This window comes from Homo sapiens, chromosome 1 (genome assembly GCF_000001405.40).
Source record: "Homo sapiens chromosome 1, GRCh38.p14 Primary Assembly".
Classification (NCBI taxonomy): domain Eukaryota; kingdom Metazoa; phylum Chordata; class Mammalia; order Primates; family Hominidae; genus Homo; species Homo sapiens.
The window spans coordinates 87,322,605-87,349,913 of NC_000001.11; the positions used below are offsets into that span (position 1 = coordinate 87,322,605).

At 41.5% G+C, this 27,309-nt stretch overlaps 1 protein-coding gene across 3 annotated transcripts, besides 15 other annotated features; it reads left to right on the forward strand.

Moving 5' to 3' along the window:
* Positions 3,459 to 3,508: a silencer, noted in NCBI's record as "silent region_1044". NCBI's record gives its function as "represses an Ori minimal core promoter by ATAC-STARR-seq in GM12878 lymphoblastoid cells {active_cell/tissue: GM12878}" and the evidence as "EXISTENCE:reporter gene assay evidence [ECO:0000049][PMID:35858748]".
* Positions 5,478 to 5,647: a silencer, noted in NCBI's record as "silent region_1045". NCBI's record gives its function as "represses an Ori minimal core promoter by ATAC-STARR-seq in GM12878 lymphoblastoid cells {active_cell/tissue: GM12878}" and the evidence as "EXISTENCE:reporter gene assay evidence [ECO:0000049][PMID:35858748]".
* Positions 5,898 to 6,327: a silencer, noted in NCBI's record as "silent region_1046". NCBI's record gives its function as "represses an Ori minimal core promoter by ATAC-STARR-seq in GM12878 lymphoblastoid cells {active_cell/tissue: GM12878}" and the evidence as "EXISTENCE:reporter gene assay evidence [ECO:0000049][PMID:35858748]".
* Positions 5,898 to 6,763: a biological region, named in NCBI's record as "H3K27ac hESC enhancer GRCh37_chr1:87794473-87795050".
* Positions 6,186 to 6,763: an enhancer, noted in NCBI's record as "H3K27ac hESC enhancer chr1:87794473-87795050 (GRCh37/hg19 assembly coordinates)". NCBI's record gives its function as "activates a minimal SCP1, AML or CMV promoter by ChIP-STARR-seq in naive H9 embryonic stem cells {active_cell/tissue: H9 hESC(naive)}" and the evidence as "EXISTENCE:reporter gene assay evidence [ECO:0000049][PMID:30033119]".
* Positions 6,276 to 26,319, forward strand: LMO4 (LIM domain only 4). 3 transcript variants are annotated; one of them, XM_047432941.1, is made up of 6 exons: positions 6,276 to 6,640; positions 8,623 to 9,210; positions 9,409 to 9,647; positions 16,932 to 17,028; positions 17,443 to 17,598; positions 22,184 to 26,319. In XM_047432941.1, exons 3-6 carry the CDS (start codon positions 9,412 to 9,414, stop codon positions 22,190 to 22,192), a joined length of 498 nt encoding a protein of 165 aa, XP_047288897.1. In that variant the 5' UTR covers positions 6,276 to 6,640; positions 8,623 to 9,210; positions 9,409 to 9,411; the 3' UTR covers positions 22,193 to 26,319. The 3 variants fall into 3 exon arrangements, with proteins under 3 accessions (XP_047288897.1, NP_006760.1, NP_001356420.1); NM_006769.4 differs by lacking the exon at positions 8,623 to 9,210; NM_001369491.1 differs by lacking the exon at positions 6,276 to 6,640 and having other exon boundaries at positions 9,140 to 9,210.
* Positions 6,764 to 7,339: an enhancer, noted in NCBI's record as "H3K27ac hESC enhancer chr1:87795051-87795626 (GRCh37/hg19 assembly coordinates)". NCBI's record gives its function as "activates a minimal SCP1, AML or CMV promoter by ChIP-STARR-seq in naive H9 embryonic stem cells {active_cell/tissue: H9 hESC(naive)}" and the evidence as "EXISTENCE:reporter gene assay evidence [ECO:0000049][PMID:30033119]".
* Positions 6,764 to 8,758: a biological region, named in NCBI's record as "VISTA enhancer hs809".
* Positions 6,905 to 8,450: an enhancer, noted in NCBI's record as "VISTA enhancer hs809". NCBI's record gives its function as "enhancer in: branchial arch[5/14] | cranial nerve[4/14]" and the evidence as "EXISTENCE:transgenic organism evidence [ECO:0001131][PMID:17130149]".
* Positions 7,251 to 7,340: a silencer, noted in NCBI's record as "silent region_1047". NCBI's record gives its function as "represses an Ori minimal core promoter by ATAC-STARR-seq in GM12878 lymphoblastoid cells {active_cell/tissue: GM12878}" and the evidence as "EXISTENCE:reporter gene assay evidence [ECO:0000049][PMID:35858748]".
* Positions 8,120 to 8,758: an enhancer, noted in NCBI's record as "NANOG-H3K27ac hESC enhancer chr1:87796407-87797045 (GRCh37/hg19 assembly coordinates)". NCBI's record gives its function as "activates a minimal SCP1, AML or CMV promoter by ChIP-STARR-seq in primed H9 embryonic stem cells {active_cell/tissue: H9 hESC(primed)}" and the evidence as "EXISTENCE:reporter gene assay evidence [ECO:0000049][PMID:30033119]".
* Positions 8,707 to 9,066: a silencer, noted in NCBI's record as "silent region_1048". NCBI's record gives its function as "represses an Ori minimal core promoter by ATAC-STARR-seq in GM12878 lymphoblastoid cells {active_cell/tissue: GM12878}" and the evidence as "EXISTENCE:reporter gene assay evidence [ECO:0000049][PMID:35858748]".
* Positions 8,707 to 9,397: a biological region, named in NCBI's record as "NANOG-H3K27ac-H3K4me1 hESC enhancer GRCh37_chr1:87797046-87797684".
* Positions 8,759 to 9,397: an enhancer, noted in NCBI's record as "NANOG-H3K27ac-H3K4me1 hESC enhancer chr1:87797046-87797684 (GRCh37/hg19 assembly coordinates)". NCBI's record gives its function as "activates a minimal SCP1, AML or CMV promoter by ChIP-STARR-seq in naive and primed H9 embryonic stem cells {active_cell/tissue: H9 hESC(naive and primed)}" and the evidence as "EXISTENCE:reporter gene assay evidence [ECO:0000049][PMID:30033119]".
* Positions 9,398 to 10,036: an enhancer, noted in NCBI's record as "H3K27ac-H3K4me1 hESC enhancer chr1:87797685-87798323 (GRCh37/hg19 assembly coordinates)". NCBI's record gives its function as "activates a minimal SCP1, AML or CMV promoter by ChIP-STARR-seq in primed H9 embryonic stem cells {active_cell/tissue: H9 hESC(primed)}" and the evidence as "EXISTENCE:reporter gene assay evidence [ECO:0000049][PMID:30033119]".
* Positions 12,656 to 13,025: a silencer, noted in NCBI's record as "silent region_1049". NCBI's record gives its function as "represses an Ori minimal core promoter by ATAC-STARR-seq in GM12878 lymphoblastoid cells {active_cell/tissue: GM12878}" and the evidence as "EXISTENCE:reporter gene assay evidence [ECO:0000049][PMID:35858748]".
* Positions 26,320 to 27,309: the final 990 nt, after the last annotated feature.

Sequence of the window (27,309 nt, forward strand, 5' to 3'; positions counted from 1 at the left end):
AAGGTAGTGTTGTTTAAGTTTTCATTCTTTTTTGAGGCAAATTGTTTCCAGAGTATTGTTCTGTAATGACTTCTCCTGGCCTTATTGTCAGAGAGTATAGCAGATGGCATTGAAAAAAAATGCTGAAAAGAAAGTCTATTTTATTCTTCAGTTATTTCTCCAAATTTGAAAATGGCTTCCCTTGAATGTTTTCCTTTTAAATGAAACTTTCAAAAAAATTATTATCTTAGACTAAAGGTCTTAAATATATTTTCAGTGATTTCTTATCACACAGAGAAATTGACAAATTTGCTTTCTCTGTCAGAATGTTTTGAAGCTAGAAAAGAAGTGGTGATTCATCAAAAACAATTTTATTATGAAATTTGATTTATGTTGAGAAATATAAATGATGATGTTATAATGTGTACCTCTGTGTGGTGGGAACACATTTTAGTCAATTGAGTTATTCAATTTTATTATTTAAAAAAATCCATATCTGGTTGTTCTTTTTATTCTAAAAAATTTATGGTGCTGTATAGAGAAGAAATGCGTGCTTTCCAAGTCCAAGGACAGCTATGGATTGTACTTCCATAATTCCAACAGAGTCATTCATTACAATTGGATGAATAAATATTATCATATTTTCATCAACTTTTTTAGTGAACAAATAGAAACCAATGTTATACTTTAAAATACATCTTATTACAAATCCACACAGAGAAAAAGCTTAATTATATCAACACTAGAATTAAAACTGACACTAACAAAAGAAATTATGGTTTTGGGCCCTTAAAATTTCTGAATTAGTAGCCTTTCTTTTACCAAGAAGAGTTAGTGGGAACATAAGGGAGAACGAATTACATCTTAATGCCTTAGTTTCTCTATCAGTAAGTGCTCATTTCCATCGTCTTGGAGAGAAACAGTAATTAATTTTAAACAGAATTGCTATTTTCTGCTGGATTTATAACTTCAACATATATTCTTAGTAATAACCACCTCACATATATACAAGTGGCCCAGTCATCTATATACCCTCTTTTGTAACTATTATGAAATTAAATCTATCCATGCAAAGACTTGACTTTAATAAGCAGTAGCTATTGACCCACTAGACCATTTAAAAGACCTTAATGAACATATAATACACTCACACATATAGTCTGATAATTTATTTGCAATGATAGATGCAGAATATCACTGTGATTGAATATTGTTGACAGAATTCAGGCTTAGAAATAGGTAGTATGAGTAAGCCAAACAATTTTTTCTATGGTATCATTGCCATGAAACAGATTCACATATCAAGATTTGCTGGGCTGAGCACAATGGCTCACATCTGTCATCCCAGCACTTTGAGAGGCTGAGGTGGGAGGATCCCCAGAGGCCAGGAGTTCAAGACTAGCCTGGGCAACCAGTGAGACCCCTGTCTCTACCAAAAAAAATTAGCTGGGCGTGGTGGTATGCACCTGCAGTCCCAGCTACTGGGGTAGGGGTGAGGGGGCTAAGGAGGTGGGAGGATGGCTTGAGCTCAAAGTTTGAGGCTGCAGTGAGCCTTTAGCCTGTGACCCATCCAAGACCTTGTCTCAAAAAAAAAAGAAAAAAAAAAGATTTGCTGATAGTTCTGAGGCAAATTTGGGGGATTTGTACTGTTCTGTTGCTATGCTAATAAACTTTTACGAAGACAATGAGTAATTTCACGACACTATTTTAAAGTAGCCTTGCTACATCAGGCAAAATGCTGGGTCACAGAGGTGTTTTCTTCTTTCCTATTATCTTTTTCACCTTTCTATCAACTCTAGGAGTTTCAAATACCTTAATCAAATAGAATAATTAAAATCAAAATCTACATCTTAAATTATATTTCCAGTCACAACAATGTCAATGCTGTTTCCTTTTCCTCAGTGATCTGTTATTTTCTTGCCATAAAATCAACTTCTTCACTATGCTTGTTTATTACCTTAAAAAGAGTAGTTAGGGTAGAACTTCCTAAATATTGATTAACATAATTTGGTGGGATACTTACCCAACGTAGTCATCTGGATTGCTTTAACAAAAAACAAACAATAATATTCTAATAAGGCAATTATTAGAAACATTTATCACATGAAACATTTAGTGAGATATTTATAAAGAATTTTGAGAAAGACTAAAAAGGCAGTCAGTAAATTCAAAGTATTATTAAATATTATCAATATTTTAAAGCCAAGATATGGTTCCGTGAAATATAGGCTTTTCGAGATGTTGAGTTCTAGGTAAACTCTTATTATTATTATTATTTTGCGACAGGGCCTCACTCCCATTTCCCAGGTTAGAGTGCTGTGGCACAATCATGGCTCACTGCAGCCTCAACTTCCAGGGCTCAGGTGATCCTCCCACCTCAGCATCCCCAGCAGCTGGGACTACAGGCACATGTCACCACACCCAGCTAAAGTTTTGTATTTTTAGTAGAGATGGAGTTTTGCCATGGTGCCCAGGATGGTCTTGAACTCAAGGGATTCACCTGCCTCGGCCTCCCAAAGTGCAGGGATTATAGGCGTGGGCCACTGGGCCTGTAAACTCCTATTCTTAAATGAAGCAGCAGGTCCGACTATACTTACTGTGCCATACACCCTGCTGCTCAGACGACAACGCCACCACAGAAAACTGGCCCAGGACCTAACCTGCCCTTCCTCTTCCTTGGGTTTTTTCTGTTGGTAACTACTGTTCCCTTTTCTCTCCACACCTTTTACACTCTGGAATTGTTGTCCTAGACTCAAGCTTTTTGTATTCACGTTGGAGGAAACTGAATATCAAGGGATCTCTGTGATGGCAGCAATAAAGTTGAGCAGATTTTTAAAAATTTTCCTTCCTAAAAAGACTTTCTTCAAAAACGGTTTTGCATTGACTTTAAAAGGACAGAATATTTTTTCCTGAGAAAGAGCTGGGGCATGTTGTCTTGGAGGTCATATCAGCATCAAATAGCCTAGACTTTCTCCAGACATTAAAGGCTGCATAGGTCTGTGTAGAACCTCTGGCTGTCCATGGGAGATTCTTAGCGAACTGTCACTTGGAGAAAAGAATGATTATGATTGAAGGACATAAACGAGAAAGGAAGCTATGAACAAATAATTTTGGGGCAAGTGGAGAAAATGACGGCTTGATCTAGGAGCAGTATGGTTCCCACATTTAATTAGGATTCAAGAAAGAAACGATTTACATTTATCTTTCTTTTCCAAAGCCCCCTAATCTTATATCTCATTGCAGATGAGTAGGATGAATGATGAATGTGTGATATCAGCAGAGGTTTCGTCAACTGTGGGGCACAATATAACATTATTTCGAGTTAGGCAATTTTACTTCATACCAGGAATATTACTTTATGCACTGTTTTTAATATTTGTTTGAAGAATATCCGAATACAGAATTTCTTTACCCATACTGAATTTGTGTGTGTTTACAAGGTTTTTGTGTTTCGCATCAGTGGAAATAAAAGATTGACGTTGCTACCCACTCAACCAGGCATTTTCAGACCACAAATCAGGATGAGAAAGGACTGCTAAACGCAAAGAATGCAGAAATAAAGATTACCCAGAGGTGGCGCTGTGGTAAAAGTACACCTGAATTTTGATTACAGTGAATGTATTTACTCCCTACCTCTCAGAAGAGAGACTGTTAGCCATTATCGCTTTTGTATTTCTATAAACACACATCAGCAAATAAAGCTCTCTGGTAATACACTCCCATCCACTCCAATCTACCAGGACATGTTTAAAGACCTCACTCCGCACAGAATTAGAGCTGAAGCACTAAAACCACCTCCTAAAATGTAGGCCCTGTAGCCTAGAGCTCTGTTATTCAAAGTTTTATCCATCTCACTCTCCTTCCTTCCACAAACACCACCGGGATCCTCTGGATAATCACTCAATGATAGCTGAACATGTGTCTGGTTAAATTTCTAACATTTCCTTCAGGAATTAAGATTTCGTTTTAGTGCATATTCTTCAGGAAAAATCCTGAAAAGTACCACAATTCGTTATACATCTATGCATTATGTGCTCTATCTAAGAAAATCATTTTTAAAAAGAAAAAATAAAGACCATTTGGCTTAATTCTCTCATTTGTGGATGAGAAAATTAAGGCCCAGAGACGGAAATTTACTTGCACATGACAAATCATAACTTAATTGTAGCCCACTAAGATCTTGTGTCATCTCCTTTTATTATAAATTATTTAAAAAGTGAAAATGAACCAGGGGATTCAAATGTATTATTTGTTTATGGTGTTCCTCTCCTCATCTGGTTTAATTGAGTTTTCTTGACTAACCTTCAAGCAGCATTACATCTTTTCTAAGTTGGTCCTCTTTAATCATGCCCATCTGTAGCTGTTTTCTGTGTAGGACATTTTAATTACTATTATAGTTTTAATGACTTTTTTTTAAAAAAAGTTTTTTATATGTGCACAAGGTGAATTCATCATAGCAGTGCAACTTTAAATACAAATCAATAAAATTAATTCATTTAATTTTAAGGTGCTAGAATTAAAAAATGAGTATTTGAATTGATATTTAAAATGCCCTCTACCTGACTGTATGGGCAATAATTATTCTTTCTTATGCAGCCTTATTAATTTTGATGGTTTGAAAGACAGAAATCCCCCAAATAGACACTAAAACCCTAAATGTTCAACATCTGCATTGTCTCGCCAGATTCTCCTTCAGGTTCCTTTCCTCAATCTAGCAGTACTGTGTGTAACACAATATGAAAACTTGCCCCACAAGGCTGGTTTTACTTAATGATACTTAGCAGAAGGGCTTTGCACTTTCATGATAATTTCCACCAGAAAAATCTCTCTGGAACTTACTAACAATAATCAGGCCTAATATTAGCCTCAGTCTGGAGATTTATTTAACCTATTTGGCAGAGTAGATAAAGTCGAATGCCTAGGTATTCAAGCATCTAGGCTGTGCTTCGGCCTTGGAAAAAGACTCTCAGGCTAGCACCCTAAAAGCATTCCTCAAAACTTGATTTATACTAGAAGTGACATTTCTTACTCTCTAGAGGCTGTGAGATTGCAAATCTTGCAATTACTTCCATTGCTTTTGGGGGCTGTGAGAATTTCCGCCTCTCATCCTCCACAGTGAGGAGGGTAGTCGGGAAAGGCTTTCTCCCTTAAGTTTTCGTCAACTTTGAAAATAAGGACTGTGCTCCCTACATCACCAGCAATTGACAAGGATCCAGGAAATGCCTGCTAGGCACTTTCAAACTCGGAAAAATGGGAGTATGAGGGAGGCTAAGTAGGCAGTATTTAGCTAGCAACTATTATTTCCTTTATGTTTCTACCTTGTTAACTAAGCTTCCACTACGGTTCATAAATCTCCAATATCGTGAATTAAAGAAACAACAACAAAAATCCTCTTCTGTGTGCTTGTGCGTGAGGGGATAGAAGTCCACTGCCCTAAGATGCAGGACTTATCTTCCCAAACAGGAAGAGACCCATTTCTGAGAAAGATGGTAAGTTTCCTAAGGGTCTCCTCTCAGATAGAGGGGATGGCAGTCCCCGAGGGGCGAGCGGGCGCGGGTCCTCAGGGTCCCCGTGCGCTGAGAAGGCAGGTGAGGCCCCGCCCTGCGTCTCGACTCCGGATCCCGGGTCGCGAAGGGCAGCCCAAGCGGGTCCCCGGCCCCAGGCGCCCGGGTCACTTCACCCCACCTGATTCGGGCCCTTCCCTTCTCCTCTGTCGGCCAGCTCTGCCGCCTCGCTCTCTCTCCCGCCCCCCGAGTCTCGTTTCAGTCATCCCTTTGTCCTTCCCCGGATTGGCAGGTTTTATTATTCCGCCTGAACAATCCGGCCGCCCAGTGGCTGAGGGTCGCTGACGTCGGAGGCAGAGCCGGGGAGTAGTTGGGATTTTGCTCTGTCAGTAACACATGTGTAAGAGCCGCGGAGGGAGCGAGCGAGCCGGCTAGAGGCCAGCGCCGCCGCCGCCGCCGCCTCCGAGCCGGGCAGCAACAGCCCCGGCAGCGGCGCAGGCTCCAGCGCGCCGGGCCCGGCCGGCCGCAGCCCCCGACGCCTGGGTGCGCCTGCCTGCCGGCCTCCGCACCGTCCGCCGCCGCTCCCGGGGCTGTTGTGTCTGCGACTGCTCCCGGCCGGAGGTGCAGGGAGCTCAGCCGAGCCGCCGCTGCCATCCCGGAGCGAGCAAGCGAGCGAGCGCGCGGGAGGGAGGAAGGCGGCGGCGGAGGAGGAGGAGGAGCGGGAGGAGCGCGGGCGGGGGCGGGGGCCCCCGGGCGGGGGAATATACAAAGTGAAGCCACATTGCCAAACTTGCAGCAGCGATTGCAGCAGTTGCTGCCGCTGCGCCGCGCCTGAAGCCGCGCCGCGCGGGCCGAGGGCTCCTGCAGCTGCTCGCGCGCAGTCGGAGGCGGAGAAGGACGAAGACTGAGACTGACACTTCTGCTCCCGGCCGCCCGGCACTTACGCGGGGGCCCCCCAACCCGCCCCAGAGCAACGCGATTTAAAAAAAAAAAAAAAGCCGCCCTTAGCCCCCTCCTCCCCTTTCCTGCTTCTGCGAGAACTCCCTCCCTCCCTCCAGCTCCGCCAGCCCAGGCGCCCCTTCCCTGGAAGCCGAGCGGCTTCGCTCGCATTTCACCGCCGCCGCCTCTCGCAATATTGCAATATAGGGGAAAAGCAGGTAAGGGGGCGGGTGGAGAGCCGCGGGCCGGGAGGTGGGAGAGGGAGGGAGGGGGTCGATTCGGGCCAGGGCTGTTTTCTTTGGCTTCCTTCCCCTGACCGTCCCAAATTGCAAGTAAACAATACGTCGGCTTAGATAAAGCGCGAGTCTGAAACTACCGAGGCCGGCCTGCGAGCTAGCGCGGAGGGCAGCCCCGGGCCGCCAGCTTTGTAGCGGTTCCTGCTTACAAAAGGGCTCTTCTTGGAAACGGGGCTGGTGGGGACCGTAGAGGGGGTGGGGATATTTCTAGTTCATAAGGGAAAGGCAAGGGGTGCTTAGATGAGGATTTTAAGTATGAGAAGTAGTGTGTTTGGGGGGGTGGGGGTGGGGATAGTCACGATACCCCCCCTCCCTTCTAGTAAACACTATTTTTGAAACAGTGGCAGGAAGGATCTAAGTGAGCAGGATTCGGTATTGCTGGTTCTTTTAAAAAAATTCTTCTTGGCTTATAAGTCTTTTGTTCCAATCCAGGAGAAATACGGTGAATCACCTAATTAAAATCAAGACATGAATTAAGCATCCATTTTTGTACTACAAATTGCCAGCGTTACGTTTGTCCCTCCCTTGGTCTCCATTAAAAAACACCAGAGACGTTGTTAAAGGGGGGCAGATTTTGCCTCTAGCTGCCAGTTCTGCTTTCTATTTCACTGACTATCCCAGGACCTAAATTGCTTGGCTATGTAATTACTAGAGTATAAGCCTATTTAACTTAAAAGCTTTCTTTTTTTTTTTTTTTTTTCCAACTCTAAATGAAACTTGATGAGGGCCCGTCCTTAGTTATCAGGGGAGTCAGTTTCTGGTCAGTCTTCTTGATTCATCTCTTTTAGATTTAATCAGCATTAAGGTATTGCTTGTCCTTAAGAGCTTTAGCTAATGGGGTTACTGGATGCTTTTCTCAGTGTAATGTTTCCTTTTCAAAAAAAAAATACATATATATTTACCTCTCACTAAAGATGGGGGCGGGGAAGAGCTTGGAATCTCCTCCCTCACTCTCCTTTTAAAAAGGAATTCGGAGCGATTAAAACGTTGGGGGAAACAGTTTAAAGATCTAGGGCAGGAAATGCAGATTCATTTGGGTTAGGGCTGAAATTGTAACAAAAAGCAATTCCTCGAGTAAATGCATCAGATAAATCAATTTACATAAAGGTATGATGCATTCGGATAAATGCAATGCTAATGGGTTTTAGAGTGGTCCTGTTTCCAAAGTCTCAGGGTTTTGTTACAGCTTAATTGGTGCAGTTCTTATTCTGGTTTATTGTGCGGTCACTGGACACACGTTCCGGGACTCTTTCGGAGGAAATGTGTTTAAAATCGGCCTATTTAAGGAACCCGAGTCCTTGTTTCGTTCCTTCCTCGTTTTTTTTGCAGCAGCCAAGTTGGGCCGGGTACAGGCAAAGTTCGCCTTCTTCTGAGGTATCAGCTGAATGTCTTGAGCAGATAGCCGGGAGCCTCAGGGGGAGCCCACACTCTCAGCTTACAGAGGACAAAGACAATACAGGCTGCTTAATTGGCAGTAAATAACTTGATCTTTTTACAGAATAAGTGACTAGAGGAACACTAGGACTTTATTGGACTCGGGATTGAAGGCAACAAATTAATCGGTTTAGGCTAAGCTTTATAAATTGATTCCTATATTATATCCCAGTTGCATCTCTTGTGGCATTCATTAGAGTGGGGAATTCTTTTTTAAAGCAGTTTTTGGTGACAGCAGGACGGGCTCGAATTTAACTTGTGCATCCCTTAATGGTGCCTTCTCGCACATTATCTGTAACGCCGCCCGCCCCCCCCCCCCCCCCGCCCTTTGGAGGAACAAAGCTTTAGCATTTAAATTGCTGATCAAGGGCAGATTAGTGAGACCAAAGTGGAGAGTGTTTGTATAGGAAGTTAACAGGCATCCTAAAGTTCAATGATCTATTATTCTTGCCTGTGTCCTGAAAACCCAGAGAAAACACTCATTGATCTTCAAAATGAAATGAGATTTGGAACAATAATGGGAGATGGCGGTCACCACAATGGCATGTGAAAGGTGCTGCTTAAAATACGAAAAACCAGTTTCGCAACTTTACACACTGCACCCACCCCTCCCGTCACCTTGCCTTCCCTCCCATCACCACGCTCTCCGTCTCCCGTCTGCCGGTCCCTCCCTCGTTCCCTTTCGGAAAACCGAACTATTTCCAACTTGTGAACTGCAGCTGCACTTCCCGGGGCAGAACCCGGGAGGGAACGAGGCTCCGGCGGGGCCGCCGCCTCCCCACTCCTCTCGGCTCTGTCCCGGGGCCCGGCGGGGGCTGGGGAGGGGCCGGGCGCGGCGGTGGGTGGGTTTGACCCTCATTTGCTGGAGGCGGGCGGCGGAGGAGGGGAGGAGGGGGCAGTGGGCGGAGGCGGGGGCTGGGAGGAGGTGCCGCGAGGGGTGGAGCGCGCAGCGGAGCCTGCTCTCGGAGTTTTGACAGTACCGGAGCTGAAATTGTCAGCGGCGGCAAGCGCAGGAAAGTTGAGAGGAGCTCGTGGCCCCAGAACAAAGCTTGAGAAAAGTAAACAGGCGGCTGCTGCCGGCGAGCCTCCCTTCTTCCCTCTCCCCCTCAGCCTCCTTCCCGCCCTTGCCCTGCTGTTTCCTTCCAGCAGCTCCGCGGGGAGGAGGGGAATGGGCTTGCTCTCTCTCCGGCGATTACTAACTTTTGCATCGCCCCTGTTTTGTCTTTCTCTCCCTGTCCCCTTCCCGCCCTCTGCAGACCATGGTGAATCCGGGCAGCAGCTCGCAGCCGCCCCCGGTGACGGCCGGCTCCCTCTCCTGGAAGCGGTGCGCAGGCTGCGGGGGCAAGATTGCGGACCGCTTTCTGCTCTATGCCATGGACAGCTATTGGCACAGCCGGTGCCTCAAGTGCTCCTGCTGCCAGGCGCAGCTGGGCGACATCGGCACGTCCTGTTACACCAAAAGTGGCATGATCCTTTGCAGAAATGACTACATTAGGTAAGACTTTGCTGTCTTTCCTGGAGATGGGGGGAAGAGCAATGGCAAGGCCAAAGGTTAACAGGGTTGTGAGGAAAGGAGTAGGCGTCTACGGGGAGTATGCAGCCTTCACCTCAAAAATCTTCTAGTTGGCGGAATTTAAGGGGTTCAGGAAGCATGTGTTAGTCTTCCAATATCTGATGGCAAATTCATGGCAAATGCCATACTAAGTAAAGACCATCTGGTGGGACTGGGTCATTAGATGTGCAAAGGTTGAGCACCCTCTGGTCCTAGAGTTTAAGTAAGTGGTCAGCCTCTACTGGACTTCAGGCTAAAAGCAAACATCCCAAGCGGGAGTTAAGCTGCGTTCTTAAAACAAGGTAGGAACTCACAGAGGAACCCAGAAACAAAGGTTGACTTAAAAATACAAGTGTAGTTAGTGAGAAATGATTTGTCTATGGCGATGGCTTATTAACGATATTTACATAAGCATCTTGAAACTTTTTTGAGCGGAAGGCTGTGATTCGTTCTTTGTGCTCCTTGAGAAAAATGCTAATTATCCATCAGTTTAAAGACTTGTAATTCTTCTTATAGAGAAAAAAAAAGTCCCAAGAAATAAAACCTGGTGGTAATGTTTCTCTTCATACTGTTACTCGGAGGCTTGCAATAATTCAGTTAGTGTGTGGTTTGCGATGTAGAATTTGCAGTTTTTTTCAATTGAAGCATGTTCAGGTTTTGGGTTTTTTGTTGTCGTTTGTATCACTGCCCTTGATCCCCAAAAGAGATTTAGAAAAAGGCTATAGAATTATACTAATCTTGCATTTTAAAGCAATGTATAGGAACATTCATATGTCCATGTAAGCAGTCTTTTCCAACAAGTTGCAGTGCAATTAATGGAAAGAATTCAGGAGGTCAGGTGCCTATAGGATCTTTTCAGGTGAACTCAAGCTACTTAAACTCATTAATTTGAAAGGAGGCATTTGAAGGATTACACATTTAATTTGAGTAAATGGTTTGATAGACTGATGCACATGAATGCTTCTAGGAGGTGTTCTGTTTCAACATCCAGTAATTAAAAAAAAAACCCACACGCACACAGTTGATACTAGAAAACCGCACACTTTTAAGAATTTCATCCTATGTAAATTTGTCCTAAACCTTTTTCTTTAAAGTGATTAGTAGAAAATTTTTTTCTTTCTTCAGTGTGGGTAAATCAGTGGATGAACTATTTTGTTCAAAGTTTAGCTCCATTGTGATTCGCCTTATCCTGCGACTAACATTGTAAAAGATCCCAGTGCAGTTCCGAGCTGAGTGTGGATATGTTTACCCCAGTGATATCATTAGTGTAAGATGATGGAGTAAAATGACATTTAGTTATTTTGATAATGCAACCTGTGTCGATTCTGCTGGCATCCTCAATCAGTCCAAGTAAAAGAAATACAGGAAGGGAGAGGGCTTTTATTTTTAAATTAAGATGGCAGCATTAATTTCACTAAGTGTTCTTTTAGAAGTAAATGTTGGAAAATCAGCAGGAACATGGGTGTAATGCTTTCTGGTCCTCCTTCCAAGTAATGCCATGAGCTTTGACGGTGCTGTAATTAAATAGAAAGCAAAACTGTGGTAAGAAAGGAGTGTGGTTTGAAGTGGAAAAATTGACAGTGCTGTTAAGATTCCGTGAATGGTACAGATTCATCTCTTCTCCGAGTGCCTTCAAAAAAAAAAAAACAAAAAACAAAAAAAACCCTCGCTTCTGATTACAACTAATTAAAAAGAAGATGGGTCCGCTTGTATTCCCCCAGGACAAGTTTAGGCAAGTGGCTTCCTGGGAATTGTGTCCATTCTTTTCTCTATTCTTGGGGCCAAATGTAAATGGCCTTTTGGTGTTTTCCTGTGCCCTAATGGAGCAATGGAGGATGTGTGCCCAGCCCTGAGCCTTAATTAATGGCATCTACGTTCTTACTTCCTTTTTTCCCTCTGAATCTGGAAACTGGAGCCAGGCTCGCTCTTGAACTACATGCTACCCCGAGGACCTTAGATCTTTCTAGGAGAGATGAGTTCTAGCTCAGTACGAAATTGATGGCCTCACACTTAGCTCAGGGCTCACCAGCAGCTGAGCGCCCCTTCCCCTCCAATTTAAGAGATTACTGAAGTCTTCCTTCAGTGTTCCTCTCTCAGCCCATCAGGATGTCCAAAGGGTGGGAAGGTGCAGACGTTGCTGTTCCTCTCAGCTACCCCCTCTCCAATGTCCCTCAAGTCCACTTGTTGGAGGAGCTTTCAATGCCGCAGGGACCGCTGCAGAAGAGTGGAGTAATCTGCTCGCCCGCCGCCAGGTGAAGGGGACCCCTTGGTCCGACTGAGACCACATAGCGATTTACTGAGGGGCTTTTAAACTGTCTTGACTTTGAGTTGTGGTTTTTTGAAAACAACCAAGGTCTTGCTAAAAAGCTGCGGGAGAGCTGGGAAAGGCCGGCCTGAGCGCGGGGGAGGGGGCTGCAAGATGAGGGGGCGCTTTCACCAGTCCCCTCCCCCTCCGCGGCCAAGTGTCGATGGGCAGAGCTGGGCTTCTGCCTCCTCTCCCTCCAAGATTTCAGATAAAGCGGCTGCCTTGCTGCAGCGAATCCGCACAATTAAAAGCTTTAATTAGTGGCTCCTCCATTTTCTTAGTTCTGATGGGCTTTATCTAATGAGATCTGGTCTCTGGCTTAGATCTGCTCCGAATGACGTGTCCGCAATGAATGAGAGCTGCGTCGCAAACAAAACATTTAATTAACAAAATTGGCCTCTAAGAGAGGGAGGGAAAGAATGAAGGGGGGGGGGTTGTAGAGCGGAGGGGGAGGGTGGATCTTAAAGGGACCAACGCCTGCCTGGCCCCCCCATCTTACAAAAATAGGGGAACCTTGGGACTGCCCCTTCCCCCACCCCCGGCTCCCGACCCCTCAGCTCCACCCAAGCGCCCCAAGTAGCTTCGGAAACTCCGTTTCTCTTCCTCGAACCGTCTTTCCTCCACCCCCACCTCGGGCCCGAAGACTGGCGCGGAAAGTGCAGCGAGAGGAGGAAGTTCGGAGACCGGCGGGTGGGGCTCCAGGTCCGGGGAGGGCGAGGAAACGCGCCGGAAGCCAGGGTGGCGGTCGTCGGCTGGCCCTCGCTCCCTAGGCGGCCAGCACCCGGGCCGGCGCCGCCCGAGGCCGCAGCCAGAGCGCCCAGCCGGCGGGCGGTCTCGGGCCCACGAGGGGGCGAGCGCAGGGCGGGAGCCGGGCGAGCGGGTCGCGCTTTCTTTCCCCGGGCTCCACTCGGGCGGTTCACGTGGCGCCCGCAGCCGCAGTGAGCCCGGCGCGGCCGGGGGTGGGGGCCTGGGGCGAGGGTGGGGAGAATTGGTAGTTGGTGGTGGAGGGTGTGTTTGGGTAGGGGGTGGCGTTAGGAATGGAGGCGCCGCCAGACAGCGAGTTCATTTCCCTGGTAATCAACAGCAAGCTGCTATATTCAGAGAATGCTGTCCCTTTAATTGAACAGGCTAGGTAATTAAATGGCACTTTTCCAATAGGACGTGCTAGGTAAATCTAATAGTTGGTTATTTAATATCACTTTGAAGTCTGCCCACTCAAGCACAATGACAGCACAGGAGCATGTGAACTATTAGCTAGAAAAAAAAAAAAAACAGGATCTCAAAAATTAATTAAATCGCATGCAATTTAGGGGGAACGTTTATCTTGATTTGTCATAACAGAATTAATTCAAGGCCTCCAATTCACTTGGGGGCAGATCTGTTACTCTGAATTAACCAAGCGTAATTTGGCTGATTTTTTTTTTCCTATTATGCACAGCCCCCCTCTTAAGTATCAATAGCTTCTGGTGCTTTTAAGGTGCCTGGTCTCTAGTTTTTCCGAAGTACCTTTAATGGACTTGGCTCCAGGCATAATTTCTGGGTTGCATTTCTTTGTTACATTTAATATAGCTGGTGCAGAATTTAGATTAAATATAGGAACCTGCTGGAAAACCAATTGCTTCTGGATCAGTAGCTGTGGATGTGCTTTTTTCTCCTCAGATAGGTTGCTGATATTTACTTGCAGGTACAAATGTATATACCTTTCAGCCACACTCTCAGAAACGTACCTCTCCTTGCCCAAAAGCAGTTTAGAAAACACAGCCAGGTAGCGTTTCATATTGCATGTATTTTGCTTGAAGTAATAATGCAGTTGAAAATAAGCCCACCTATTGGTCATTGAAGTTACTGAAAGATGCTAAGCATTGATAGTAAACTAAAAATACGATTTGCCCTCCATCTCTTAATGCCAGCAAGGAGAGCTGGAGCTCAGCGGGCAAACAGGAATAAAACTACATGGTGTTGTTCAAACAGGAGCAAAGCACCTTTAAAGTGCAGTGGTTTGGTGGGATTTCTTCCCATCTTTTCCGTTTTCCCTGTATAAGGAACCTCTTGATGTTTGTGATTGATTGCATTGCCCAAATGCTGAAATATTAACGACCTTCTTGGACTGAGGACCCAAAGAAAGGAAACTGAAACCGATTCTGTCATCACAATTAAAGACTCCCCTGGCTTTAATTAGCCTGACCTGGGGTATATCTCCCCGTTGCTTGAGTTAAAGAGAAAAGAGCCCATTATAGTCCAGTCTGAGACCGATAGCTACTTAATTGAGCACCTAAAGCCTCGAGCCTTTTAAATCAAACACTGTCCGGACAGTCCCCCTGGTTAGATAATTAACTCTCCAGCGCACAGAAACGTTGTGAAAAAACACACACACACACGCACACACAACTTTTCAGAAAAAGGGTGGAATTCTAATGGTAGCCTTCCTCTCTGGTAAAAGGGGATTAGAATGTGTATAGACACGTAAGTTATTCTGCTCTGAGGCAGCCTTAAAGCTGTAGGCATGGAAAGATCTTAAACTCCATTGATACGTTGTTCAATAGCACATCAGTCCTGGGTAGATCTTGGTCATTTCAAACTTTGTAACTGTAATTTTTGGCACTTCAGGAATCCCACCATTTTGTGGCTGATTGTTCTCTGAAAGGTTATGATAGCAGCCCTGGAAAAAAATAAGATCTATGAAAGGCTTTTGGATTACATATGAACTGCCCTGATTATTAAAATACACTTCGATGTTGAAGACTTACAACTGACTTTACTCAGGGTGAATTGTTAAATAAATGAACACTTAGGCTGAGTAATCAGATGGGTACTGTGAAAAGGGTATTTTTGAGATGGAGTGTCACTGTGTACCTGTTGGTAGTGGCAACCATAATTATAGATTCTTATCCATTAAAATACTTCAGGGTTGCTGTAAGAGGATATTTGTTCTTTAGCCTTGTTAGGATTCTGTCACCCCCTTCTACCCCCATTACCTGTCTTCTCTTATCCTCAGCATGTATTTGGCCACATGGACTGGTTTTTAACTTTATTTTTACCCAAATTGTTTGAATTTGGTATCCCTTTTGGGGGTTGGAATAGCACTACTGCCGTCCATAAATGCTTTCCTCAGGGCCATGCCCATTCTCTGGCTACCTTCCCCTTCTGAGAACTCCCCTGCGGCAGTGGTACTGCAGGTGAGACACCGGGAGGTCCTCATCAGTGTTCCTGAAGTGTCCAGCATTAGGAGACAGCAGCCCAGAGGCCCCCCAAGCTCCCACATGGTGTGGTCCTGCAGCTAGAGGTCCTGACAGTGTATTATTTCAGCTTTCTTTCTGTAACTGTTCTGATTCTGCAAGAACGTGTCAATGTGTCGTGGATCTCAGACTAATTAGTTTTGAAATGGAGTTTTGATTGAACTCTTCAAATCGATGCTGCTGCAAAATTTGTTTCTCGGGCTTCCTATTAAAAGCCATCTTAAGGGGCAGTTTTACTACTCTCCCTGTCGTTCAGTCAATACATTTAATAACAACTTACAGGCTATTTTCAATAAAGTGGCGACAGCAAATTAGTAGTTTGAACATGACAAGCCTCTTCTGCAAGACCAGATTCTGAAAACTCAAAGCAATTATTTTTATATAGAGGCATGCTGCAATCATTCAGATTATGGGGTGTTCTATAGGAATATGTCTCCTGGTTTGACACAGACTGCATTTTATGACTTTATTTGGACAAGGAGGAAATGCAAATGTTAATATTTATTATGACACCAATATGTTAATTTGTAAGTCCTCTTACTTTGTTTTTCGTTTTTGAAAACTACCTCTCTGATTCTGCTTACTTGTTCCGACACCACCTTTCAATGTGAAATCATTTTGGTCTGTTTAATAAATATTTGTGGATATTAAAGAGGGAAGCCCAAAAGCAAATAAAGCTTCCCAGGTTGAGTCTACAGATTGCATAAAAGCCCAAGTTCGGTGGTTATTAAAATATTTTGTTGTGCTTGCAGAAGGATGTAAGGAATTATGTATATGTTTTTCTTCAGTACACCACAATTCCTTGAGCTTTCCCCTCCTCTGCAGCCTTTTCCTTCTCCCCCTCCTCCCCCCATGGCAGATGTTGTGGTCTCATTTGATTGCATAGGAAAACTGCAGTGATACAGCAAACACCCAGAGAGATATGATGACAAATGGGTCCAGATCCCGGTAAATTACTTTCTGCTCAAATCGAAATTTCATTCAGTTTGTTGCTAGCAGAGATGAAGTAATCTAAATTGTGGACTCAGGAGCAGATAGAGGGAAGTTGGAGCAAGCATTTCATTATCAAGAGAGAGAGAAGGTTAGGATGAAAGAGATGAGCAGAGGCAAATCTTAAGTGTTGACACCATGATTGAAAAGGTTAACCCATACACATTATATATCAACCTGGATAGCAGAGAGTTTCTAATGGAAAGTCTGCACTGATGGAGGTTTACGGGAGTTTCAATACACTGAGCATGATGTCTTCTTAGATATACAATCAAATCCTCTTAACCCTTTTGATGACTCATATCTGAAGATATGATTAAAGTACAAAAGAGTTCTTCATATAATTTCAAGGACACAATGCATTTAAACTCCAGTCATGAATTGTATCTTTTTTTTTTTTATGATGAACCTAGTAATCTGATAAAATGTGTGTAGAACAGAATTGTATTTGCTAGAGGTGTAAGTCAATATTTTGATTAAATCTGGGGCATCCTCTGCGGTAGGCAGAAGTTTGTTGTCCCACAAAAAGGATTTTTCCCAGATTATGTAAATCACTCAGAAAATCTGAGGCTTGAGCCTAAGAATTCAGCCTGTCAAATGCATTCCAAAGGGATGCCCAGAGTCTGGGGGTGTTTTTCTTTCTTTTTCTTTGGTTTAGGATTATTCACTGGTGTCAACCGTTATTCTTTGTTTCAGGTTATTTGGAAATAGCGGTGCTTGCAGCGCTTGCGGACAGTCGATTCCTGCGAGTGAACTCGTCATGAGGGCGCAAGGCAATGTGTATCATCTTAAGGTAGTATTTGCATCTCTCTTTTTTTTTTAAAAAAAAAATCATACCTTTCCTACCTACATGGGGGCAAAGCATTTCTCCTTGGTATGAACTGTTTTCTCAAGCTGCAGACACTTGAAGGAATGATTGAAATTGTAGCATGGCAGTGATGGTTACACATCCACATGCACAGACCACGCTTCCCCTATGCCACAGACAGAAGTACACATGTATTTGGATTTGTCCCCATTTAGCCTGGTCCAGTTGATAGCAATTTGGCTTACTGTTTTCTGGAGATCTGTCAAAGGAAGAAAAAACGCTAAACCCTAAGTGTCTCTGTACTTGACAGATACCTGCTTAATAACAGGTTATAAACTTGTGACCAAAAAAAGACTTAATTTTTACCTTGTTTTCAGTGGGTTTGTTTTTCCCTTTCAGTGTTTTACATGCTCTACCTGCCGGAATCGCCTGGTCCCGGGAGATCGGTTTCACTACATCAATGGCAGTTTATTTTGTGAACATGATAGACCTACAGCTCTCATCAATGGCCATTTGAATTCACTTCAGAGCAATCCACTACTGCCAGACCAGAAGGTGAATACCCAGCAATTACTAATAAGCTTTATTAGAGCAAGTTGGAAGGTTCAACCTCTTAACCTAGCAAGAGAGTTTTCTTGGGTGGTTGTATTTTTGCATGCCCTTTTAAAGAAATGTAGATTACTAGTTGTACATAGAGTGTTCAGAAGTAGGATAGCTGATTAAATTGTGAATCCTTTCTAGTTAAAAAAAAAATCCTGACTTTGTTATATCTGTAGCTTCACTCACGTTGAACATAAGATTATCACATGCAAAAGCAAACAAAATGTAAAGCTTCCATATAACTGGTTATTTATTCCATTTGACAATTTTGAAATTCAGAAACATGATGTGATAGGTTATTGTGGAAGAAAAATTAGAACATTTATGGTAGGAAAAGAGAATAAAGATCTTTGTTATGAAAGAATGATTTCTGCGTTAGGAATAGCAATCTGGACACCTGCCTTCCAAACCCAATTTACAATTCATTTACTTTTTAGAAGAGTAATTTTACAAAACATTCTGTAACTTCATAAGAGGGCATTTTTGTTCATTGGCGGTACCATAACATTTGAATAAGTTATGGCTTTTAAAACCAAGTTCTTGTTCTTGCTAACCCGCTTAGTGCCATTAATAGTGCCATTAGAAATTATGTATCTTGATTCTTGATCCACAACTTGAAAATCCTTGTACCAGAATTAAAAATTAGGAAATTATACAAGTATACAAATCATGTAGTATTAGAAGATATTCCAGAGGGAAAATTGGTGATCAACAGTTGTCCAGCACCCCCAGTACTGGATAGTTTTAGATCTATTTTAATCTCCTTAATAAGTCCTATAGCTATGCAAGTGAGTGCATTTTGATAACTGCTGTGCCTAATTTGTAACAATTACTGTCAACCTTCAGTTAAGAGACTGTTCATTCCACACCGGCCCAGAAAAGAGTGAAATGTATGACTCGTGTGCATAATTTTATTCACATCATATTTCATACTGATTATGTATTGATGACATTGATTCATTTACTCTTTACAGCGCCACTTGCATGGATATTAAATCTTATTGACCACAGATGAATTTTAATTTCAGATTGGTGATAGATTTTTCCATCAGCTCTGATAGTATGTTTGACTTTTTCATCATTAACCCAGGCAATCACACAGCACTGAGTTATTGCATTGAAACAAAAAGTGCACACTTCACTTGGTAATTCTTTATGGATTTACAATAGGAACTTCATTAATGTCTGTTGTAAGGATCACAAAAAAAACAACATTTATCTGCAAATAGGAATTTAGCAAGCTTCAAAAATCTCGGGGAAAAAAATAGACTTTTTTGTCTTCTGTAATGCATTTTCTTAGTGCGGTGGTGGAGGTGGGGGTTTGACAAATATTTGAAAACTTTTAACCATTAAAATTATGCTGCCATATTTTGATGCTTATATTTGCCCTTTTCCCTTGCTCAAGTTTATGAGGTAATTTTAAATGTATGTTCTGTTTCTTAGTGTTAATTACATGACATTATGTGCACTTTAATTTACTAATATGGGGAGCTACATAGAATAACCATTTTAAGAATAAAAGTTGAACTTTTTAATTGCAAACTAACCAGTCACTGCTGATGAGGTATTTCAAGCTTCTTCAAGGAGTGCCAAGACATATAAATGCTTAAAGATTTTTGTGATTTGGATTCTAATGAAGTGAATCTGCAGGGCAGAGTTGAGAACAATGAATGAGCAACATAAATATTTGGAGATACCTATTCAGAATAGAGGTAAAGCTGTTTGTAGTTACACTTGGTAGCAAAAAAGAAAAAATATGCTAGAAATAAAATGGTAGACCTTCTCTCCACTCCTTCTGATGTAAAAGCTTAATTTTTCCCCGAGTTAGAGCTTCACTTTGTTGCTGGTTTTATACCATTTCTTTCTCTGACTTAGCAAAGTACTATACAAAAAAATGATTGTTGCAGTTCACCAGCATGCATGGTGAGAATGAAAGGATGTAGAGATGAGATGGAAAATGTTGCTAGATTGTGAAGCACTGAATACAGGCAATAGCAGTGTTAGGTAGGGACCAAGTATAAAGCACACCTAAGAAATATGAGCAGGATTTCATACCATCTTTTATAGTATAAGATGGCATAAATTTAGAGGTGTTAGGGAGGAGAACTGCAGAAAAACCAGGTTTACCTGTTGATGAGATTACATGTCTTATGCCTTTCATTGAAATCTGTTTTCCACACCTTTTCCAGGATGGCAGTGGTAGGGTATTCATTTTGGAACACTATATTTTAGGCAATGAATAAGAACCTATTAGTGTATGTTTTCTTAATGTTGGAGGCCAAAAAAGAGACAGGTGGCCTTCAAAAATTAATAGCTCTTAAAAGGCATAAGGAAATACAACTTATGGAAATGTTCTTGTCAGACATTGGTGAGAAGCTGTGTTTTGGGGGTGCTGTTAATTAAGAACATTTCCCTGTTGGCGTAAGTGTCTCACATTTTTGCCCTTGGTGCCCAGCTCACCATGAGCACGGTCAATTCACAAGGTAGTTTTTATAAATAAAGGTTTTGGGCAAGCTGAACGTGGTCCAGAGAGATATTAATGAGAGGGCAAGGGGGAAGAGTTAATGAAAACATACTTCCTGGTGGAACATAAACTGCTTTTTGGAACTGGAGAGGCTTTAAAATTATTTTCCCAAAACCCTGTGGCGTTTCTTTTCTGGAGGCAATGAGATGGGGAGAAATGACAAATGGCTTCGTTTTATTATTTTCTCCTCTCTCGTTCTCCATATTTTTGGTAGGGAAAATTGGACATTTATTTTGGCCATTTTCCTTCTATTCGCAGAATCAATTACATTTTTGGTGTATTATGCGTGGTAAATATACTCAAGGATCCTCTGGCTTAAAAGCAATGAGTTGATTATTCGAACATCCCTTCTTTAAAGGCAGTTAATTGCATGGAAAACATAGGCCCCCATTGTCTGGTCCCTTTAAACTTTTATTCTGAGATTTGTTCCCAGGGTCTGGGCTGTGTAGTGTAGTTGTTGTTCTGCATCATTGGCTGTTGTATATTCCAAGAAAAATAATTTTAAGCTTTTAAATCATACAGTGATTGAAATCTTGCATTTCAGATGGACTGAAATCTCAGGCCACTAGTGTTCAAGGATCTACAACATTTTATAACCTATATCACTTAAAGGAGGCTTGGCTAGCTTTGGGAGAATGCTGCCTTCTAGAGGGTTATGTAAATCAGGAATTGTGGCTAATTTTTTCTTTTGTAGATTGCTGCCTGTTCTGGAATTTTTTTCTTCCACTCAAAAGTGTGATGGTGCCATCTAGAATTACCTGTGCTTTTCAGTTTTCAGTGGAACAGGAGTTAGATCACATCTCTTTAGTTGGAGGAAAATTTAGTGAGTGTTCTAGTCTACATGTCACTTCGCAGTTCCCCCATAGTTACATAATTGGTGTTGTGTGTGTCCATCGTAGAAGACATTTGATGCTCATTTATTAAATATGCTTGCTGGCTGCTGCTGCATCTTTGTTCTGGACAGACAAATTACCTTTCTCACACTGAGCTTCCACTCTGGGGAATTAAGCCTTCACCACTTTAATTAGCTTGGAAGTAGGGGGTTGCAGTTCCTAATAGACTACAGGCTTTTTGTAAGTTAGGGAAAGGGTGAAACGAGAACTTCCTGGGAGGCTCAAAATGTCATTTAAAAACCATAACAACCTAATATGTATTATTTCATTTTGGTAATTGCAAACAGATTGTATTTGACAAGTGTGTGGATTTCCATTTCTGACTTAGACATTGAAGCCACCCTTGCATTGAACTATGTTCTTTTATCTATCACAGGTCATTAACACATTGCATGTATTGAATCACATATTTGTGTAGCTATTAAGTGACATAGCAGATAAGAAATAGTGAAAAATATGTGAATATTTGTACATAGAAATTTTCATATAGACACACACCTATAGGTAGTACCAATATGGGTGAATATTTTTCACATGGGGATATCGGAATAATAATGATAACTGCCAGTATTTGTTGAACTTTTATTAAGGGCCAAGCACTGTTGAAAGTGCTCCCATATGTATTATGTAATTATCATAACAGTGTCATTATCCCTTCTTTAAAGATGAGGAAACTGAGACACAAGCAGTTTAAGCAACATTCCAAAAGGTTACACGGTTAAGCATATGAACCCAAAACTTCCTAGGTAGGAACTTGTCTTGGAATGTCCCCGCTATTTAAAAAATTCAAGATCCCACTGCTGGGCAAGATGTTACATTCCTTTTGGAAAGACACTTGCTCTTAACAGAGTTAAGCAATTAATTGTAGTACTTTACACCAGAAACTTTCTGAGCGTCCATTTACTGTCTCATTTTCTTTGCTAGTAAAACTGCAGAAAATGTTATGCTTTAGTTCTTCACTGCCAGAGTAAGTAGCATAGAAAGCCTCTATCAAGTCACAGTTGGAAAGTAATCTAATAAAAGAAGATTAGTGAATGTGGGGAAGACAAAAGCAGTCATGTTTGAGTTTAATATCTCTCAAATTTAGCATTTTAGCTAAGATGCCCGTTTTTATTTCTTGCAGGTCTGCTAAAAGGTCAGAGTAATGCAGAATGCGTGCCTTCATCTCAGATTTGTTCATCACAGGTGGATCCCATGTGTCTTCAGTAGACAAGTCACCTTTGTAGCTAGCACCAGTGCCAGCTCCATGCCATTGCACCTTCTTTAGTCTTGATTGCCCTTCCCGCATTTATTGGTGTATTAAAATGACTGAATATGAACATTAAGGACTCCATGAACCTGGGCTAATGGGAGACTGTAGAGAAAATGAAAAAAGATCCACCAGAGGACATCTTGGGGAGGGGGAGGGAGCTGGGGGGGAGGGAAATGACTAATGAAGCTAATTAAAAGAAGCATTCAAATCTGCTTTCTACCCTCATTAACAATTAGCAGGGCACTGGCCAGAGTTTGTACCCTGTGTTTTACCTTAACAACATTCTATTTGCTCTTTGTATATTTAAGTGTTGTAAGGAAACGTGTTTCAATCAAAACTGACCATGAGATAAAGGAAAGAGATGTGGCTTTTGTGATATTCTATCACAAACACTTATTGTATCTCTGTAAAATACAATGTATGTATGCATGTAAGTGTTTTTGTCCTAATGTTGCTACTCCCATGGCAAAGAAAAAAAAAAGAATGAAAAAAAGAAAAAAATTTGGAAAAAAAAATCAGGCTCATAGCAGCTACTGTGTAGAAAATTCCCCCTACTTCTAATTTGCTGAATGAAGAAAAAAAAAAATCTTTTATTTGTGATATTTTCAGAGACATTTGCTCTAGTATGGTGTATTTAAATAATAAAAACTTAAAAGAAAAAATATTTAATGGTGTTTGGGTTTAAACACTGCTTTTTCTCTTCTGTATTTTGAAGAAATTTAGTTTTTATTGTTGTTGAATAACAAGCTCACTTTAAATTTGAAGGAGTTGAGGGAGGTGGAGTGTATATTTATTTAGCTCTGGGCCAGTAAGGTATTCTTCAAATTACTTAACCACGCCATTATTGGCAGGGGTACAAAGTAGTTTCTAACAGGGTCCTTTCTATAAGTCAAGAATATTCTGTTAACAGCATTTCGTTACACTTCTATATCACAGTAAGTCTTTTGTGTTTATAAATACTTGAGTGTCCACTATTTTGTTTATTCTTTTTCTCAATAGCAAACAAAGCCTTGGGTATTGATGAAAAGTATGTATAAAAAAAAATACGGCACAACCATCCTGTTCTCTTATTGAGTTTATAGCTTTTGAAGGAAGTCACAATTTCTAAGTCATACCTGTACATATTTTGAAGCTCACTTAGTTGTAGGGACCCAGAGCTCTTTTTTTATGGTGATCTTTGATTGGTGAAGTAGCCATTTCCTGGTGACCCTTAGGCTCGTGTGGTTGGCTGTAAGGTGTTTATTTTGTTTTGCTCCTACACTTCTTTACTGACTGCGTTTCCGTATGTATTTTGGGGGAAGATTCTGACTTCATTTAGTCTTAGTCTTGAGATACTGAGTTGCTGGTTGCAGGCAGCAGAGTGTCCACCACAGTGCCTGCACTGCCCGCAGAGCTGCCCTCCGGAAAGCATGCAGTATAACAGCTAGTGCTGGAAGGAGGAAAACCAAATAGGCCTGGAGGCTGAGGTTGTACTGCCAGCTTCCTTAGATGTGAGCAAATTTCAACTACAACTTCCATCACAGGCTAATAAAACCAGGTGTGTGAACGCTACTATTTTAAATTTTCTTTTTTAAGATGGCATTTTATTTTGTTCCAGAAAAGCGCCTGATGTAGACCCTCCCTCTGAGAATAGCCGTGGAGCCATGTAGAGAGGTGTAGCTCAGCACATCTCAACTACCAGTCAGCTTCCCTTTGAGAACTTCTGTGCTCACTTCCTGTTTTCAGAGATTCCAGGGCAGGGGAAAAAAAAAATCAGTTGAACTTCAAACCTCCTAGAGGAGATTGTAAAGGCATAGAGTTGAGGTGAATAGTTTTGTTAGAACCTTATAAAAATAAAATGCAAGAAAATAATATGAAGAAATCACATATATATGTTTGAATTAGATGTCTGTTTGAATTAGATCCTTGGGGAATTTCTTCAAACTAGTTCTGGTTCTTATATTTGTTTTTTTTCCTTTAAGGAACTTTCTGAAGGAAGTTAGACTGCGATGGTAAAGGGGGAAATGGGTTAATGAGATTGCAGGCATTTTCTATATTCTTTTTGGCATAAGCACTTATGTCCCTGATATGTACAAATTCAAAGGAGGTGGTTAATAACTTTAGTAAATAATATATTGTCGCATTTAATGATGTGGAGGGCTAAGGTCATTACGGACTTTAAATAAACTATTATATGGCTGGTTCCTCAAGCACTGCTGCGTATTTAATAATGAGCTTCTAAAAGCATTTCTTAAGTTGCAGACCTATAAGATTACAAATGTCACTCATGTTAGTATAATCCACATGCAAGTGATGAAGCCTTCTCTTTGATGTGCTAAATTGGAGAAGGACTAATGGAGCTATGAATATACAATAGAACATATTTAAGTAGTAGTCTTGCTTTAGGTAAAACACTTTCTTGAAACCAGAGGCATTTCAAACAATAAAACCCGGCTCTAATGGGGATGCTCTGTGTGGATAGAAAGCTACTAAAAACACTCAGGTTTATTCTGATGTGAGCAGCGATTGTGTGCAGTTCCTCCCCCAATCTCAACATTGCTTAGGAAAAAAAAAAATCTATGAGTTTATTCCACCTTTCATCCATTGCATTTGTGATGTTATTAGTTAGCAAGATGGACACTGTTCTTTAGAAAGGACTTATTTAATATTAACCACGTCATAGAGCAAGATGGCCCCCAGTCCCTACAAGCAAGTGCAATTAAAAATAAAAGCAAATGTTACTGAGCCCTGCTGAACTCCTGATAAAAAAAATTATGTTTATGGTACATATAAATGTCTCAATCATGCAAATTGTCACTCTTGTTAATGAAACAATTTTGTAAAAAGATAGTCCTCTAAAAGGGTTTAATGTTTTTTACCTATCTAACTGTCTAATTAGATTTACACATCCCGCAAGGCAGGGGAGCCTGAAGCTTTTCCAAACCAAATCGTTTGCCACTAGAAACTATTTTCAGCTCTTCATGATTTATTAGGAAATAGTTTAACCCGGACTGTAGTGTCTTATAAAATACAAAACGAGAAAACTGACACACCAAAATGAAGTCTGTGAAATTGTCATCCTCTTAATATTACCTGTATTTAAATTCTTTCTTTTGCCCTTATTAACACTGATATTTGAAACAACTAATCATCTAAAAGGAAGCTCTTAAAGGGCTTTAAATGTCAATATAGTAAGATTCTAATGTGCACTACTATTTATATAAAATATTTCTTAGGGCCCATAAATCATATAATAAACAGTGAACCCAAGAGCTACATATGGAGTCTAGTGAAGAGTTCCCATGTAGCCTAACTAATTGTATTTAAATTGAGGAGATCCAAAAACCCCATCACCCTTCACCCCAAAGACCCCTTCACCCTTCACCAGGGAATTCTATCCTGGGTGCTGTCCCACCTATGACCCCTTCAAGAGGCCATTGGAAAAAGGCCATTTACAAGTTAATGTTACTTATAGCTTTGTTACTAAGACTCACCTATTGTTAGTGCAGCCAAGTCACAGAAGTGCTTATTGCAGTTAAATAGCAATTTGTTTCCATGAAACTGCAATTAAAGTATTACTGAGCAGCCATTTTAGATTGGCAGTGCTCTGAACGCATGTTAAACAGCCAGCTACTCCCACTTGCAGAGTCTGAGATCTGACTAGCAGCAAAGTGTAGCACATTCGCCGATGCTGGGTACCTAGTTAAAGAGGCATTTGTAGCCCTCTGCTCCCATCGTGAACATGCTGAGAGCAATGACAAGTCAGGGCTGATTTTTGGAAGGTGAACTTGCAACTTACCTCAAGTGAATACTGTTTTCAGTTGTGCAAGAAGTGCTTTATGCTAGTAGATATGTGCATGTTTCCTAGAGGGAATGTTTTCAAGTTCAGATTGATTCTGCTGAGAATGGACGGCAACTCGGAGGCCTCAAGCCAATAATGTACTACAGGCCCTGACATGTTACAGCTGTGTAAACAGGGCCATTCTATTTCCTAAATCACAACTAATAAAGCAGAGGATGAAAATCAATTGATTCTGTTATAAGTTCTTTGAATGACACTGGAAAGTTGTTTAATGACTCCCTGTTAGAATGGACAAGCCTGAGTAGAGTCACCAAAGTACCGATTTTAATTGTCTCTCTCCCCTCAGAACCAGGGCAGGACAGCCTTTCCTAGGAATTGACATCACCATCACCAGATCAAAACCTGCTGGGGAGAGGAAGGATCTGAACTGAGTTCTTCCCGTAGATCTGACATTCAGAATTTGTTGAGTGAGAAAGGTGAAGTGCAAAGGTTGCATTGAAAATGTGAAACATTGATGCAAGATCCTGAGAGAGAAAAGGATTTCAGAGGTGGTGTTTTAAAATGCAATTAGCACTGAATTCTAACCAGTTTGGAAACAATCATTAGCTCATGAGAACGGGAGGCATCTCACCTTCCTTCACTCTGGAACAACCCCCCATCTTGAACTAAAAGGTTAACATCCCCAACTTCTTCAAAAACAGTTTCTATATTTGTGTGCTTTCACCTGTTGTTTGAGCTGCAAGTTTTTTCTTAAGTTAGAGTTTCTTCCTAAATTAATTTTTCATTTTTGGTGAATTGAATGTTTTTAGGAACTGTAAAGAGAAAATCTGAGGACAAACAGGATTTACAAATGAAGATTAATTATGAAACCTGGAAAGGAAATTGATTTCTTGGGTTGTTACTGTACCGTTTTCTTTATTTAAATAAGGTTTGGTAGGAATAGGTGTGTCTTAAATTCTATTTCTCTAAGGCCTCTGATTCAGTTTCTGTCATCAATCATGGGACTTAAACTTGCCATAAACCTTACATCTTTAAATATAATGTTTAATATAATAACTTTATCTTGGAGTTGCATAAAGCTTTGTAAATGTGTTTATACATTAACTTTTACAATGAACAAGTACTTAGGCATGCAATATCATTCAGTCCTCATAATCCTTTTAATTATTATTCCCTCAGTTTTACAGATGAGGTAACCAAAGTTCAGGGAGATTAC

Excerpts from the sequence above, each read along its gene's own strand:
- LMO4 (XM_047432941.1), top strand. The coding sequence starts at position 9,412 with ATGGTGAATCCGGGCAGCAGCTCGCAGCCGCCCCCGGTGACGGCCGGC. Across the intron at positions 9,648-16,931 it reads TGCAGAAATGACTACATTAG|GTTATTTGGAAATAGCGGTG; the intron begins GTAAGACTTTGC and ends TCTTTGTTTCAG. Across the intron at positions 17,029-17,442 it reads GCAATGTGTATCATCTTAAG|TGTTTTACATGCTCTACCTG; the intron begins GTAGTATTTGCA and ends TTTCCCTTTCAG.